This window comes from Homo sapiens, chromosome X, assembly GCF_000001405.40.
Source record: "Homo sapiens chromosome X, GRCh38.p14 Primary Assembly".
Lineage (NCBI taxonomy): Eukaryota > Metazoa > Chordata > Mammalia > Primates > Hominidae > Homo > Homo sapiens.
In genome coordinates this window covers 12,671,511-12,687,704 of record NC_000023.11, presented here as the reverse complement: position 1 = coordinate 12,687,704, position 16,194 = coordinate 12,671,511, and the positions used below count along the sequence as shown (strand labels likewise).

At 40.0% G+C, this 16,194-nt stretch overlaps 1 protein-coding gene across 14 annotated transcripts in view; it reads right to left on the bottom strand.

Annotated features, from left to right (window-relative positions):
* Nucleotides 1-16,194, bottom strand: part of FRMPD4 (FERM and PDZ domain containing 4) — a 902,085-nt gene that overhangs the window by 36,819 nt on the left and 849,072 nt on the right. For 13 of the 14 annotated variants that reach the window (NM_001368398.3, NM_001368395.3, NM_001368402.3 and 10 more), the window contains 3 exons: nt 12,797-12,842; nt 4,118-4,222; nt 1,501-1,608 (listed from right to left, as the gene is read on the bottom strand). In NM_001368398.3, coding sequence (NP_001355327.1) covers nt 1,501-1,608; nt 4,118-4,222; nt 12,797-12,842 — 259 coding nt within the window. Of the gene's footprint in view, nt 1-1,500; nt 1,609-4,117; nt 4,223-12,790; nt 12,843-16,194 lie in introns of all 14 variants that reach the window. The other variant, NM_001368396.3, reaches the window with a different exon arrangement.

Sequence of the window (16,194 nt, the reverse complement as noted above, 5' to 3'; positions counted from 1 at the left end):
CCACTCAATCTCTCCTGTGCCCTGACTATGAGCCTTTCCCATTGCTAATTCTATTCTGTATTCTTTTGCTATAATATGCTGTAATTGTGAGTATAACAAATTGCTGAGTTCTGTGGGTCCTTTGAGTGAATTATCAAGACTGAGCATTGTCTTAAGGACTAACCAAACCCACCTGTTCATGGCTGCTTTCCTGATACAATGACAGAGTTCAGTAGTTGAAACAGAGATCAAATGGCCCACAAAGCCTAAAATGTTTACTATCTAGCCCTTTCCAGAAAAAGTTTGCCTACTCTTGGGTTAGTTGATCAATAATTATATTAACATCTCACCACAAATTGATAATGAATGAGGAAAAAGGGAAGAAGACCTGTCCAGTCATCACCATTTAAAATTAGAAGTCTTGTATGAAGGAAGTTAATATTTCATCTGGAATGATTTGAGGATGATTTAATGCTCCAACATCAATCTAATATTTTCCACTGCATGACGTATTAAGCCACTACATACTTATAGCAATTCAAAACGAGCTGCTTGCTGGTATCGTGACAATAAGAATACACAGTGAATGGGTCTTTGCAGAAATGCTTCTATGTGTGAGGTCTATGCTGATTAATTAAAAAAACCAACAAGAATTAGAGGTCGGATATTGATAGACATTTTTTAACAGAGGGTTGATATTCTCTTGATAGATTATTATACAGATAATCACTAGGTACTCTTTTACCTTCATAAAATCTTTTTTACTGTGCCATGGGAAGAAAGCCTATTTTAGGCTGATGAAGCATTAGGGAGCAATCAATTTCTGAATACACTTTTGTCCAATAAAAGGAAGAGACTCTGTACTTTTCTTTTCCAGGAAGAAAGCATGTGGGGAAAAAAACCATATGCTTTGCTATAATACCTATTATCTAAAACTCACCTGTGGCTCTGAAAGAATAGGATTGCTTTGTGAGTCTTCCTTTCCAGCCCTTCTTCTAAGAAGCAGGCCTCATTTCTGCCTCTTTATGCATCATTACCATGAAATTGGTTACAGAAATTAAAAGTAAATGTTACTTTTACATTACTCTACCCCTTGTTTTTTGCTGGACACCAAAGTAGCAAATATTCAATTAACAGCTAACAGCTTAATCTTCTGAGCAGCTGATATTGCTGAGAAATCATGCTGGCCTTGGGCAGGGTGCCAAGCCTTCTTGGTGATAGTCACACTATTTTAATTAATCTGTAGTTGCATCAAAATGACTAGCTCTAGTGTTTCTTCACTGACAGCATATTATATTGTTTTGCAACACCAAGAGAAATAAAAGAGCAGAGCCTTCTTGGTTTAAGCTTTTGGCTTTGGTTTGGTTTGAAGTATTCACAGACTACATTATATGGAGGCAATCAACAAAACTGCAGAAATAAAGGGATAGTTCTGAAAGAAGATGCTGCTACAATGGCTCACAGTGTCCTGCATGTTGTACCTGAAAGCGTCCAGGGACAGAGTTTACCAGGTCATCTTACCTTAATGGAAGTGCTGCAGTCAAAACGAAATGATTTGGTCTGCCCATTTTCCAGATAGACTTTCAAAACATTTGGCATAAAAAGAAGTGAGTTGTCCTTAACAGTTTCCTGTTTAACAAAAAAAAGGGCAGGGCATAAATTGATCAAATTATAACTCTTCTCTTTGCAGTAGCAGCACATCTATACTTTATTCTAAGCATGGCATTAAAAAACAATCAAACTCTCTAAGGCCAACAAGGCATTCCTTTGGTGATATGTGAGTTAAGTTGCTCATAGAAAAATACATTTGCTCATCAGAAAATCAATCAGATGAGGTTTTTTTAACTCAAGATTCCCCACTGGCAAACATGATTGCAGACGTGATTCTTTTGTGATTAGGCTTTGACATTTGGAACTACAAGCCCAGACCTAAGCAGGGCAGGACGTCTTGAGCAGAAAAAAGACCAGCAATGATGCTGTTTGATGAGGTACTGTTGTTGCCTAGCAGTGTCATGATGGTGAGTCACCAGCATAAATAAGCTTCAAGTATAAAGTTATTTTGTGAAAGTATTTTCACCCAGTTAGGAATGAGTCTTAAACTCCAAGGGAACTCTATTAAATGTTGCAACTGCAAAACAAAAACAAAAACAAAAACAAAAACAAAAAACAAAACTCCAAGGGAAAAGATAAGGAATGGCTTAGTGTGTTAAGAGAGTAAAACATTGTCTATAATGAACAAGATCATAATCTAGAAATAACTCAGAAAAAGATGCCAGCTTGAAACATGACAAAAAGCAAACAATAGAAATGTTATTTCTTTGCATTTTTTCTTTCATTGGAAGTAGTGAGAGATGAGAGAGAAGAAAGAGGGAGGAAGGGGGCACACTGAATGAGTTCTATAAGTCCCAGGAGTGAGCTGAGTTATTCACATGTAGTTGGTCATAAAGTCCTAGGAGTTGAGGAGAACTCAGCAGTCATGAGTGCACACATCCCTTGTTTTGCACATGAAGGAACTGAAGGCAAGATATTCAGGAATTTGCCAGTGTCAGAGAGAATTCAGTCCCTAAGTATTTCCATAATAGGCCTCCTGCCTTTCACTTCCTATTTCTTTTCCTGAATTTCCTCCCCCTCTTTTCTGCTCCTGTGGACTTCCCGCACAGTCTTGCTCTCAAGTCACTGAATAAATCTGGATCCCAGTCCAGAAGAAATTGCACTCAGTGACTCAGAAGAGCAAGGGTAAACTGGAAATGAAGACAGTCATGAAGTCTGAGGAGCATCCACGTGACCGAACATCCCTGCCATCCACAAGCCTGTGGCAGGGCTGTGGAGGCTTCAGGAGATGATTATCCTCAGAGGTGTCCTTACACATCAGCTGCCTTGCAGGAGTCCTGCTATATCCAGGGATGAACTGACACTGCTGTAGCAGCTTCTAGAATCATATTCTTTCTAAAGATGCATAAACTACCTGGTTGCCCAATTACACGCTCGAAAGCTCTGGGCAGAAAAGGTAAGTTTCAGATGACTTTCTGCTACATATTGATTCCTCTGTACCTTCCACCCTTCAGCTGGGACAGTCTTGTTGTAAATTAATAATGTACAGTGACCGTGCATCCAGAGTGATGGGACACATTGAGAGGCACAGAACAGACCATGCTCACAGGGCAGCACAGCCACAGCCTCTAGCCTTCCCCACAAGCATCACAATAGCTGGACCCCAAGTGGAGCAGCCCTAGATCAGTAAGTTTTGATTCAAAGACAGTTGGAGCATGAGTGCCTTGCCCAGGATGTATAGGCCTACATCTTCAGATTCAGATTCAGATCCAGAACCAACCTCAGAGAAGAGTTTGTGATCAATAATGAATATATCATAGGTGAGATTTTATCCTCGTGGATTTATTTAAACAATACCAACAGAACACCAACGCTCTGGCATTTCAAAGGTCCAAAAAATATTAGTGCCTTGGATGATAGTTTTCTAAAAACTGAAAACACTTCAGTATATTTTTGGGAGAAAAAGTCAAAACATCCTGTTGATAGTTGCATTATTCATTCTGAAGTTCAGTTAATTGCCTGAGTAATCATGATTTCTATCAGGACCTATTTATGGAGATGTGGGCAGTATTTCTTCAGTTCTGGTTGCCTACATAAAATTTTTCCATCGTTTTAAGTTCTTTGCCTGATTAGTTGAAAGATTAGGCTTTTCTGGGGAAGTAAAAAGGAGAAACACAATACCTTTCTCAAAAATACATAAAGCACTATCATATGGAAGAATGCTTATTTAGCAGAATGGGAAGAAAAAGGTGGAAGTTTCAAAGACGCATATTTTACTGAGTATGAATGAGGCAGTGTCAGTGATCCCAAATCATATGAACTCCTTTGCAAAGTAGTGATGTCTCTGACACTGAAAGCATTCTAGGAAATCCTGGACTACCACATATTCTGACCGTGCTAGAGGAGATTCAGGCCCAACCTGATGAACTCTCAAGCCCTTTACAACCTTGAGATTTGACACCTCTGTAAAAACCAACAACCAATTTCAGATCAGTCATTCCAGTGGGACTACTGACTTTGTTTTGAGTGCAAAGCTTCTGCCTCATTGACTCTCCCTGAGTCACAAAGCAGGTGACTGTAAACTCACCGACACTTGGCCGTTGATGATGACCTCCTCAGAGAAGCGTACTTTGACAGGATTGGACTTTAATCTTGCCTTTTTTGCAGCACTAATAAATGCTGATTTGGGAGACTAGAAGAAAAGAAAACATTTTATCTGATTACTGGTAACATAATGCAAACCTTGTAACAGTTGTTTTCCATCTTAGGTATGCAATAATTTTGCTTAAAAATAAAATGCTTGGTGCATGTCCGATTCAAGGACAAAATGCAAATTATAGATGCAGTCAAAACACTGTCATGTCTATAAGTTAGTAAGTTTGATTTAGTGGCCAGATCAGAACTACCACCACTATGTTCCATGTTTTAACTGAGCACATTTCCAGGGATGTTTTAAAACAATGGCTGCAAAAGCACACAAACTCTGCTTTTAATAGAGAGCTTTGAGCACAGTGTTCAAGGTGAGGTGGTAGTCAGATCTAATGTTGGGTTTATGATGAATTGATCATTAATCATCTATTTTAATGAGGTGGAGAAGAGCCATTGATAGTCCTAAAATGATTCATAATCCTATTGTTATTCACATTAAGGGCATATGGGCATGTGAGCAGACAAGTACTCTGTCTCTCCCTCTCTCTCTCTTTCTCTCTCAAGCACTCATGCCTTATGCACCTGCAACCTGAGTTTTAGCCTCTTCTTGGTAACTTGTGATCCTGTGATCTTACTGGGCAGGGTAGAGACGAGACCTTTCATTACAATTGAAAGTTGACTTCATATTCTTCCTCATCTTATGGGCTCTTTGTGCTTTATGATTCTCTCCTTTCTTTTATCAGAAAGAGGGGCAATGTGGCACAATTCTTCCTCAGAAATTGGAAGTACAATGGGAGAACCTGCCTAGAAGGGTGCTGTGATACTGGGGCATCCCTTGCTGCATGATCTTGGTAAAGTCACTTTATCTGAGAATCACCATTGTTGCATAATTTTAAAGAAGCCTAAGGGGAAGGGAACTCACACCTAGTACATATCTACTATGTTGCAGGCATTGTTTGTTTATTTTTAAAAAGAATTACATTCTCTATGAAACCTAATACAGAGGTAAATAGTTTGAATCATATAATTGTTATTTTATAAATGAAAATGGTCAAATATTGGCAATTGCCTATGGTTCAAACTAACGTTTTCCATGCTATGTAGTCTTAAGACATAGAGGCTGTTGCGTAAAGAATTCTAGTAATTGACTCTAGAAACAACACAGAGGCTTAACCCTCTATTTATTGTACTAATCTAGAGATACAAAAGCCAACTAGGGTGACCTATACTTTGGTTTTCAAGTAAAATGAATTTAAAAAAGGACTCTCATCCTTGTCAAATACAAGTATACTTAAGATCAATTAAATTTAAAAAGCAATATGATGAAATAGATAAATCAAATGTGGTCCATCTGTACAATAAAATATTATTCAACCATAAAAAGGAATGAAGTTCTGACACATGCTACAACATGGATGAACCTGGAAAATATTTTGCTAAGTGAAGGACACCAGGCACAAAAGGCCACATATTGCATGATTCCACTTACAGGCAATGTCCAGAATAGGCTAATCTATAGGGACAAAAAGTAGATTAGTAGTTGCCACGGGCTGGGGGTGGAGGAGAATGAGGGAATGAGGAGTGATGCTTAATGAATACGGGGTTTCCTTTCAGGGTGATGAAAAAGTTGTGGAACTAGGTAGCGGCAATGGTTGTAAAACATTTTGAATGTACTTAATGCCACGAAATTGTACACTTTTAAATGTTTAAAATGGTACATTTTATGTTATGTGTATTTTACTGTAATAAAAAAGCTGTTGAAAAAAGTATGATACAAGGTGTGTGTGGGGTGCGTGTGTGTGCGTGCGTGTGTGTGTGTGTGTGTGTGTATCCTGGATGGAGTTTTTGCTTTAATACCAGGAGAATCCTGTTATTTCTAAAGTTCCCCTCCACACCGATCCCATCCTTTGCTGTGAGTAGTGTCTTAGAAGACTGGATAAATGGATGATTTGTCTCCCAGAGCTTGAATTCATCCATTTATGCAAGATGTTTTAAGAGAATGGCTGCCGTCTTTAAAAAACAAACAAACAAACAGACAACAGCAAGAAACCGAAAGAATAGCTTTAAACATGCTCAACGTGACTTTTAAAAGTCCTGCTGCAGAGCTGAAGTGATGTGACAGGGTGTTCTCATCAGTATCTTTGTAATTATAGGCCAACTTTAGTAATGATTAACGAGCAAATCATACAGCGGTGAGCGCATTTGCTTTTGATATTTCATTTTTTAGCTGAAGGGAAAACATTATTCTCCCGTAATGATTTTAGGCAGGCGGTATTTACATTGGCACAATGAGTTGAGCACAAGTGAAGCGGCTGTAATAAAGCTACCCAGAACAGACACTACTCATGAGATGAGATGTTTTAATGCAGTCACACCTCACTTCTCCAGCATTGTTTGGGAATGAAATGTTTCACGTGTGTTCAGTGTGCCAGATACTGAGGTTTATTCCTCTATGCATCTCAATTTTTAAATGTTATATTTTGCCATATTTTTCTAAAGTGTTCCATCTAATTCCTTGCTTCAATAACAAATATAGAGTTTTCGGATGCATATCATTTGATATAACCTTAGAGTGCCATGGTGTTCCCAGGGATCACGAAAATACGTAAGGTTACTTGCCCCTGAAGTAAATAGCCCCATATTTACTAGCCCTGCTGAGGCCAGTAAACGTGGGGCTATTTACTTTAGGGGCAAATAACCTTATGTACTATCTCCTCTCTCTAGCTATATGTAGCATGCCCATTTTATGTAACTTCATTCCTGTATTTATTTACGATGCAATAATGAGAAACATGGTAATTTAGGAAGACCAGAAAGGAAACTAAATAGCCAAGGTTGTTAAGTAAATATTATTTTATACACAATTTGAAGTCAACAGACTCGGGGTAAACTTCTAACTAAGAATTCATAACAAGTACTTTTTTTGTTCTGGGTTTGTGACTATTTCATAAAACTGACAAATGTTTTGGAAATTACTTTTGGATAACAACTACATAGGCTCTCCAAGTCTGAAGGCTACTTAATGAGAATCAACAAAATACTGGCTTATTCCACTGGCTAGAGTTACTTGTGTTATATGGGGTAATGTAAACCAGTCATGACTATAGTTTTAACACAGATTTATCTTTGCTTTCAAAAAATATACAATGTGTACCACTTGAAAGCCTGCTGAATTAATTCTGAGCAACCTGTAGGTGTTGATCACAAGCACTTCATATCCTGTGGTGGAAATAACAAGTAATTATCATTTAGAATAATCAGATTCTCCTACTGTTAATTAATTTTAAGATTATCAGGCCCCTAATCAACCCCTGTACATTTTCCAAATTTGCTGTTGCTAAGATGGCCACAATAGTGTGTGGAATGCTCCTGATGCTTTTGAATGCTCTTAGAAGTTACTAGAACATAGCTTGAAAAAATTACAGAAATAAGATTAATTTCTGAAATTGAAGGGCAAGGTCTTGAACTTGCAATTCCTAGAGCTGTACAGTATTACTTATATAGCAGGTATTGAGTGAACATTTGGTGAAGACTCGCCTACAGTTATCACTGGTTGGCTTAGTTTGGAGTCTCCAAAATGCAGACCTAAGACAAGGATTCACAAACAGGTAGCTGATTTGGGAGGTGCTCACAGGAATCCCAGGTAGGTGAGTGGGGAAGGCAGGCAGGAAGGGAGAATAAACCAGTAAAGCATTCGCTGTTACTAAGGCACCATTATAGGCAACTGGAGCTTACTCCTGCTGGGAACCTCTGGGAAACAAGGTAGACCACATGCCTCAGAGTTATACTGTCTGAGGAGAGAGGGAGCTGGGGTATTTATCCACCAGTTTCTGTCAATCATTGATGGAGTGTCTCCTTGTATTGTAAGTTTTCAAAATTCAAATTTTCCTGCTGCCTCAACATCCCCACATACAGGTTGTGAGCACCCTGCCCAGGCAACCAGGTGCACCAGTGTGATAAAGTTAGCTCCTGCCACAAGTACTCTTTCCCACCCTCCCCTGACTGTGACTTAGTAACATTTAAAGAGACCAATGAAATTCCCTCGCACTTTTCTTGTGTGTTCCACCCTGACCCCCGATAAAGGCATTTGCCCACAGGCTCTAACCTCTCTGTCTGGTCCCCGCCTGGTTGGTTGAATCGGCTCCCCTGGTGCTCCCTCTCATATGACCCCTCCTCTTGGCATGCAGTTTCTCTAGGACCTGTGAGTATAAAAAAAACTTCTTTTTCCCGCATGTCTCCTGTGTCCCCTCTTGTGGCTACATCTGACTGACCACCATGTAAGAGAACACAAAACACAGCCTTTCTGGGAATGATAATTCCTCAGCACTTGTGGCCTGCTCCATGAGCATGCTACTGGGGCCAGGAAGAGCCCACAGGCAAAGACTCACAGGTGTTCTCCATTGGAAATTGGGCTGGTATGCTCAGCATGACATATGGTCTGGGCTCTGATAGAATGTGCTACACTGGGGTTTCCATGAGGAGGTGTGTAGCCTCTCTCAGCTGTGTGGAACACAGTAAAATGTAGTTAGGAAGTTGGAGGCAGGAAAGCGGGTCCCTCAGCTCTTTGGACTAGAAGAAACCTAAAGGAATGTGAATTATGCTAGCTCATGGGACACCAGAACTGAGAGAATGACTTAGCTCAAGTCCCATTGAGTTGGGGTTGCATGAGGGGAAGTTGTAGAAACTCTTTTTTGTTTTTTGAGACAGAGTTTCACTCTTGTTGCCCAGGGTGGAGTGCAATGGTGCAATCTTGGCTCACTGCAACCTCTGCCTCCCAGGTTCAAGTGATTCTCCTGCCTCAGCCTCCCTAGTAGCTGGGATTACAGACATGTGCCACCACACCTGGCTAATTTTGTATTTTTAGTAGAGACGGGGTTTCTCCATGTTGATCAGGCTGGTCTCGAACTCCCGACCTCAGGTGATCTGCCCGCCTCGGCCTCCCAAAGTGCTGGGATTACAGGCGTGAGCCACCATGCCCAGCCGTAGAAACTCTTTAAATACTCTCTGTCTCAGGTAAGATTGGCTTTGGAATTCTAGACTTGGAAACTGTAGAAAGCAGAGTCAAAGGAAAAAAGGAAGGAGCTGGCCAATGAAAGATCTATAATAAAAAAGGGTAACAGTACAAGGAAAGAAGACGGTATATCGGAGCCAAACAAATAAAACCCATGAGTAACCCAGAAATTCCCCTTCTAAAATTCCATCCTGGGGAAATACTAACTACAGATTAAGACTTACACATAAAGATTTTCTTTTCGGAATTATTTATAATAGCAAAACAATAAAGACGATGTGAAAGGCCCAGTGATGGGGGTTGGTTAAGGAAATCTTGGTTCAGTGTAATGTTTTGCAGCCATTTAAGTGATGCTTATAAAGAGTTTTTGATGACATAGGAAATGTTTATGATATATTTAGTAAAAGAGGCAGAATAAAATTATATGTACAATATGATCTCAACTAAGGCATAGAAAAAAAGACTGGAAGGAAATAGGTCAAAATGTTTACACTGGTTGTCTCTGCGGGAAAAGTTTGCCAACACATTTTTCTGCATCTGTATTTCTTTCTATACTTCCACTTAGTATTTTTTTTCCCAAGAAAAACAGTAAAAATCGTGGTGGTGGGGAAAGCCTACCATAATACTTTTTTTAAAAAATGCAGCAACCTATTAAGAATTACTTCTTATCAAAGAATTTCAGGGATCCCAAGACTCTCACCCCCATTCCCCCTTGACCTAGGTCTCATTGGAGATCAATTTCTGCAGTTGGGTCATGTTGAGGTACCCTGGGCACATGTGGAATGTGGCCGGAAGGTATAAACATTGGCTCTCTATCTTTACTGGACCTTATGCAGAAGAAATACAACATTAAAAATGCTGTCCAGCAAGTTGCAAAAGAAATTAAAATGCTAATTTTTATTGTCTGTAATAAAAGTAGAACTTATGGACTTTCTTTTGGTCTGCTGGGTCATCCGTTTCTGTTTGTCAGTCTTGATTGCCAAGAAGATGTTTAACAAATAAATGAAACTCAATAAGTATTTTTTTTTTTTTTTTTTACAAAAAGCAACTTGCTTGTAGTAAAATCCAAACCCAAAAATATAAGTAAAAGATTGCAGTCTTGTTTTTTCCCATCTGCTCTCCTCTCCATGTCTGATATCCATTTAAGAAACTTTGGGGTTTTAATTCTTTAATTTCAACTTCCACACCTCGGAGGAGAGAAAAGCCATTTGGGATTTGAACAGTAAAGGGAAGACTTTAGGTGGGACAGTGGTTCTCAGCTGGGAGTAATTTTGCTCCCAAGGGACATTTGGTAATGTTTGGAGACATTTTGGTTTGTCACAACTTGGGGAGAGGATGCTACTGGCATCTAGTAGGTACAGGCCAGGGACGCTGCTAAACATCCTACAATGCACAGGACGTGTCCCCATAACAGAGAACTCTCCAGTTCAAATGTCAACAAAACCAAGGTTGAAAAACCTTGAGGTAGCATTTATAATTTGGCCTGAGACTTGAAAGGTGAGAAGGATTTATTTAGCGAGGCCGAGGAGGTGGTGGGACTGGAGTCATTTCTCAAAGGAGAGTGGTCAAAGGAAAGTCAAAGATGAGAATTTATCTGCGGTGATTGGGCAAGGGGAAAGTGACTCTGGAGCAGAGGTACAGCTGTTGGCTATAAGAACATGTGACACTTCCTCCTGAATATTGTGGCTAAGTGTTGCCTTTCAATGTAGCACAACGGCAAGAGCCATCGGAACTCCTAGAAAATTCCAGATTATCTGTTAAAAGGAAGTGCCATGATTCACTGATAGTAATCAATATTCAAATGAATAACAAGTCACATGGACTCCAGTGGCAAACAGCAAGTAAAGCCACAAGACACAACCATAAACTTACATGTAAAACTCTTCTTTCTTTTTCTAAGTTTACTGCATGAGGTAAAACAGTATCCCACATTGCAAAACAAACAAACAAACAAACAAAAAACAAAACACAAAGGTCCTGCCTGATCTTGCATTTCTAATAGATTATACAATATAGAAAGAGAATTCAGGAATGACAATGCAAACGTGAAGTTCCATCAGGAATTTATAGTTGTTCAATCTCAATTTATAGTTGTTCGATGCTTATTATAGACATTTACATTGGCTTTACCCAAATGAATTTGTCCACTGCAAATAAATCAAGAAATGTGTATAGATGTGAAGTAAGTGAAAATGACAATTTGATTAACCAAAACAATCTAAAAACAGCCCAGCTGTATTTTTTATAGAAGCACATGGAAGGAATCTCGGAATCAGACAGTTGGGGAGACCAAGGTTCTGAGCAGCTATGGTAGTCACTGCTGACTCGTTTGTTATACTGCTGTGAGCTAGATCTCAAGTCGTGGTTCTCTAACATCCTGGGGCCTCCTTAGTTTTCAAATCCCAATGTATGTGTATGTGTGTAAGTTCTGTCAAAGAGATGGAGTTAACAGTGACAGTCAATATTAAACTGAGCTTTTAATATAAATATGCATAGTAAGATGGCATAATTTGTTGTCTTGGTTAGTTCTATTTGTGGTCTTATCAGAATCCTGATCCTTATTATTTCCTGTCTAAAATGCCTAGCCCACAGAGCTTAGGGGAAAAATTCTGGGACAGGGGAAATGAAGAGTTTGGTCAGAAGATGGAGATCAGCAAATACCAGAGCACTTTAATTGATATAGAAATGCTCCAACTCTATGGGGAAGAAAATAGGAGCTTAAGCAGGCTGGAATCGCTGCCACTCCTTACGAAGGCCAGACTGACAGGAACCATTTTGGGAAAAATCTAAAGGAATTTGCCTCGGTAATTTTTAGTTCAACTGACAACGTATGAAATTTGCAAGCAGTGGCAAGTCTATACAAATAGAAAGGAAATTAGCGGTTGCCTAGGACTGAGTGTGGCAACAGGGATTAATTGTAAATGGGAACAGGGATCTTATTGGGGGGATGGAAATGTCCTCCAACTGGATGGGGTGATCGTTGCATACCTCAGTGGATTTTATGAAGACCATAGAACTGTACACTGAAAATGGATGAATTTTATGGTACGCAGATTATACCATGATAAAGTCGTTTTTTTTTTTTTTTTTAAATCACAAGAACTGTCCAGTTTTTAAATCACTTTCCACCCTCCTAACCATGATAGCTGAAATCGAATTCTGACACCATATGTCATATAACATCTATTCTTAAAGCAGGCTTTGCTAAAATATCCAGTTCTCTGCCAAATAGATGGGGATAAGAATAACAATCATGCATCGACCTCCTACAATTAGATAGTCTCATGAGATTTGTGTTTCTTAAGCTGAAAAGCATAAGAAGGTCTTGAATTTAGTGTCATTTACAAATGTGACCATTGCATAGGACTGGAATAGCTGGTTGTCTTTCAAGAACTTTAGAAAATGTATTACTCCCTTTTCTCTTCAATGAATGACTTTGCTAACATGGAGTATAAATTACAAAAATAGTCAAGATTTTTGAACCCATATTGTGAGTGCATGTTATTTTTCTCTGCTGTTATTCATCATTATGGTTTTACTGGAGTGGGCAGAAGAAACAAGAAGCCTGAGAACATTAAGTGGCACTTTTATTCACAGAACACTTACAGGGTAAGGCTGAATGACAGTGAGGAGTATCGATTCTTTGCAGCTTCTGTAAGAGAGAAAAACAAACATATTTATGATATGCACTGAGCCCGGACTCTAACTAGTAAGAGTTTTCTTTCAAAACAAAATGTGTGATGCGTTAGTGAATGCTCCCTGGACTCCCAGGATAGAGTAAACCAAATAGCTCAGATGTAGGCTTTCAGACCACACAAAAGCCAAAATGAAGCGTTTCCTGAGTTTAACAAACTGCCCAATTGAAAGCTTCCTAGTAAGTTTACATTGGGCAATATTATCTGTGCTGTCAAACAGCAGGACCTTAAAATAAAACCCAGGAAGGGAAGAACAGTTTTAGAAGCATCACCCAAATCTCTATATTTTTTGCTGCTCTCAGAATTGATTCTCTCCTTCTGATTTTCCTTTAGCCTATTTTTCTTTGCTGCTTAAAAATTTCTCTGTAGTTTTCTGTCAGGGGAAGAGATTTTTAAAAATTCTGTCAGTTCATGGAACGTCATTACCTCTCAGGATCAGCATCCAGAGACAAAAATGTTATTGTAGGTTTCTTATGAAAAAAATAGCATCCCAGCAAACATCGGTTCCCATACTGTGTGGCTTAGTAAGTCCCTGGTCACAATGCTAGGACCCTGGGCTGATAAATATTTCAGACAGGCACCGGTTGGGAAATATTACTCACAATAGGCCGCACTTCATGGCTAAAAGCAGAACAATGTAATATAATGGTTTATCTAATTCCCTCCACGTAACTCAAACCCTTGAGGAAAAATCATATTATGGATTATAATAGTTTTTCTTTCTTCCCTTCTTTGTTCTTTTTTAAATCATGACTAGGAGAAAGGTCAGTTGCCATTTTGTTGAAGAAGAGCTGATTTTTTCTACTTTAGGTTGTAATTAATTACCTGCTTTTCTGATTTATTGCCCACATAAGTAAGGGGAAGGAGATCTTTTGCAAGGCTGTTCCCTGGAAGAAGTCACTGCAAATCACACTTCTAGCACTAACTGATTTGTGGCTCGGCCCACTCACTCTGGCTGGGCTGGACCATGTAGTTGGGGAGTGGGGTAGGGGAAGAGAGGAATCAAGAGGGCAGGGAAAGGAGTAATAGAACTAAAACTCCAGGAAGACTCTGAACACTTAGGATGATGGTGCTGGTGGGGGCAGGAAGGTAGCACAGTGCTGATGGTGGCCAGTCTGCTCCCACAAGTTCCCAGTCACCAAGGCTGGCAGGGAGCCCAATGACTGCAGTGGACAGAGCAACAGTGCAATCAAATGAGAATTCAGTGCATAAGATGAAGGATCTGCATTGCTGGTGGGAATATACACACGTGTAGCAGTTTGGGGAAGCAATCTAGCTTCAATAGGTCAACTTCAGTGTCACAAGCACCATGACCAAGCCAGTCAACTCTGGTTTTATATCCCCCCAAAAATTCTGCTGCTAGCCTTTAAGGGGAGGTGGATGAGGATGTTACTTGCAGCAGAATGCATGGGGGTGAAGTGTCAGAGGCAAACTGGGTGTCCATCTCCAGGATAACAGATATGAGACAAATATGTGGAAAGCAGCACAAACAGAAACAAAGCACTGTTTCTTAGTTTTTGTTCAAGTTTTCCTCGTTCACAGGCAACAAGAAACGTTTATCAGATAAGAAATGCTCTATAACCCCATTGACCAAAGAATGTGTGAGCGTGGTAGCCATGTTAGTGGAACTATCTGCCCTGCCTGGCTTGTCCTGTCTGAGTCTGATCCCAGAGTCCTCAGGAGCAAGCAATGGGCCCAGCTCATTGGACCTGAATGTTGGAATGAGCCAATCAGATATCCTTTCTCCAGAATCAGAACTTAGAGACACAGAGACTAAGAGAGTTGGGAGCCAAGTCACATTCACGACTGAGCACCAGAGTAAACATTACAGATGCCAGTAATCCCCTGAACAGTCCTGGTTTCCACCATTCCTGAGGGCTGGTTGTTCACCATTTTGCTAGAAATAAAATCATTCACATAAATGATCTCAGCAGGATATCGATCATCATTCTGAGAAAGAGCTTTTACTTTTGTTTTCTCTCATCTTAAGTACATAATCATCATCTTCCAGAGAAGAATTAACTCCATAGCACTACAGATCCCTTAGGACTCCTAATCCAAACCTAGGTGGAAAAAAAGATGGAAGCCATATGTGTTCATATGTTACAGGGTGCTAAGATGAACTGAGACAGAATCAGCTGAGGCCCCATGCCAATACATGCCAATCATTCCCACATGCCAAAGAAGGGTGCCGCAAGATTTTCAAAGGTGTTGAAAACCAGAGTTTGGAACCCTTACCCCTTACTCATCTTGGGATCTGACTCATATCTTCATTACAAACTGAAAAAAAAGGCAGCAGGAAGAGGCTGTCAGAAGCAGCACATGCTCAAAGAGCAGAGGCTACATTTGTGCAGTTACTACCCTTACACTGAGGCAGGCCCAAAGTATGAGACTCTTGGAAGATGCAGTAGAAACATTGGCCTGGGACCTCCTGATCAACTGAGCTACTTTGAGGGATGAGAGGGCCTTCGCAGAAATATACAGAATCCAAGGAGCACTGAGCATAGCCCGCCCTTGGTTTCTGCCTGACACAAGCGGGCTGCAATAGGAGTAACTCAACAAAGAAATCTTCCAGGAATCCATGAAAGCAAACACAAGGAAAGAGTCCACCAACATCACCTTCCACGGACAGAAGAAAGTAATGCTGGATTACACTGGTGCCAATCAAGTGAGAACTTTCTTGCCTTTTACCTCACCATCTTGGCCTCATTTCAATCTGGAAGGAGCTGAATGCTGGGGCAGTAGAGAAAACATTGACAATGCCCCTTAACCCACTGCAGGCTTCCTAGGCCTGAACTAGGCAAAAAGGAGGAATTTTGTGGAGTTGGAAGTTTTGACTATTACATGACAATCAAGTGTTAATTGTGATTACAAGTGTACAAGTGACTGGATAACTTTCTGAACCTGTTCAATATGTTTATGGGAACTACCTGAGATTTTGTTGAGGGCTTGGAGGAACTGGCCCTGGGGAGCTGTTATAAGTGGACAATGCGGGGAAAGAATATAGTTGTCTTATGATTGCACCCTCCAAGACCTGCGTGCTCTACTTATTCCCAACTTCTATTTATTTATTTATTTATTTTTTATTATACTTTAAGTTCTGGGGTATATGTGCAGAACATGCAGGTTTGTTACATAGGTATACACGTACCATGGTGGTTTGCTGCACCCATCAATCTGTCATTTACATTAGGTATTTCTCCTAATGCTATCCCTCCCCTAGCCCCCCACCACCCAACAGGCCCTGGTGTGTGATGTTCCCCTCCCTGTGTCCATGTGTTCTCATTATTCAACTCCCACTTATGAGTG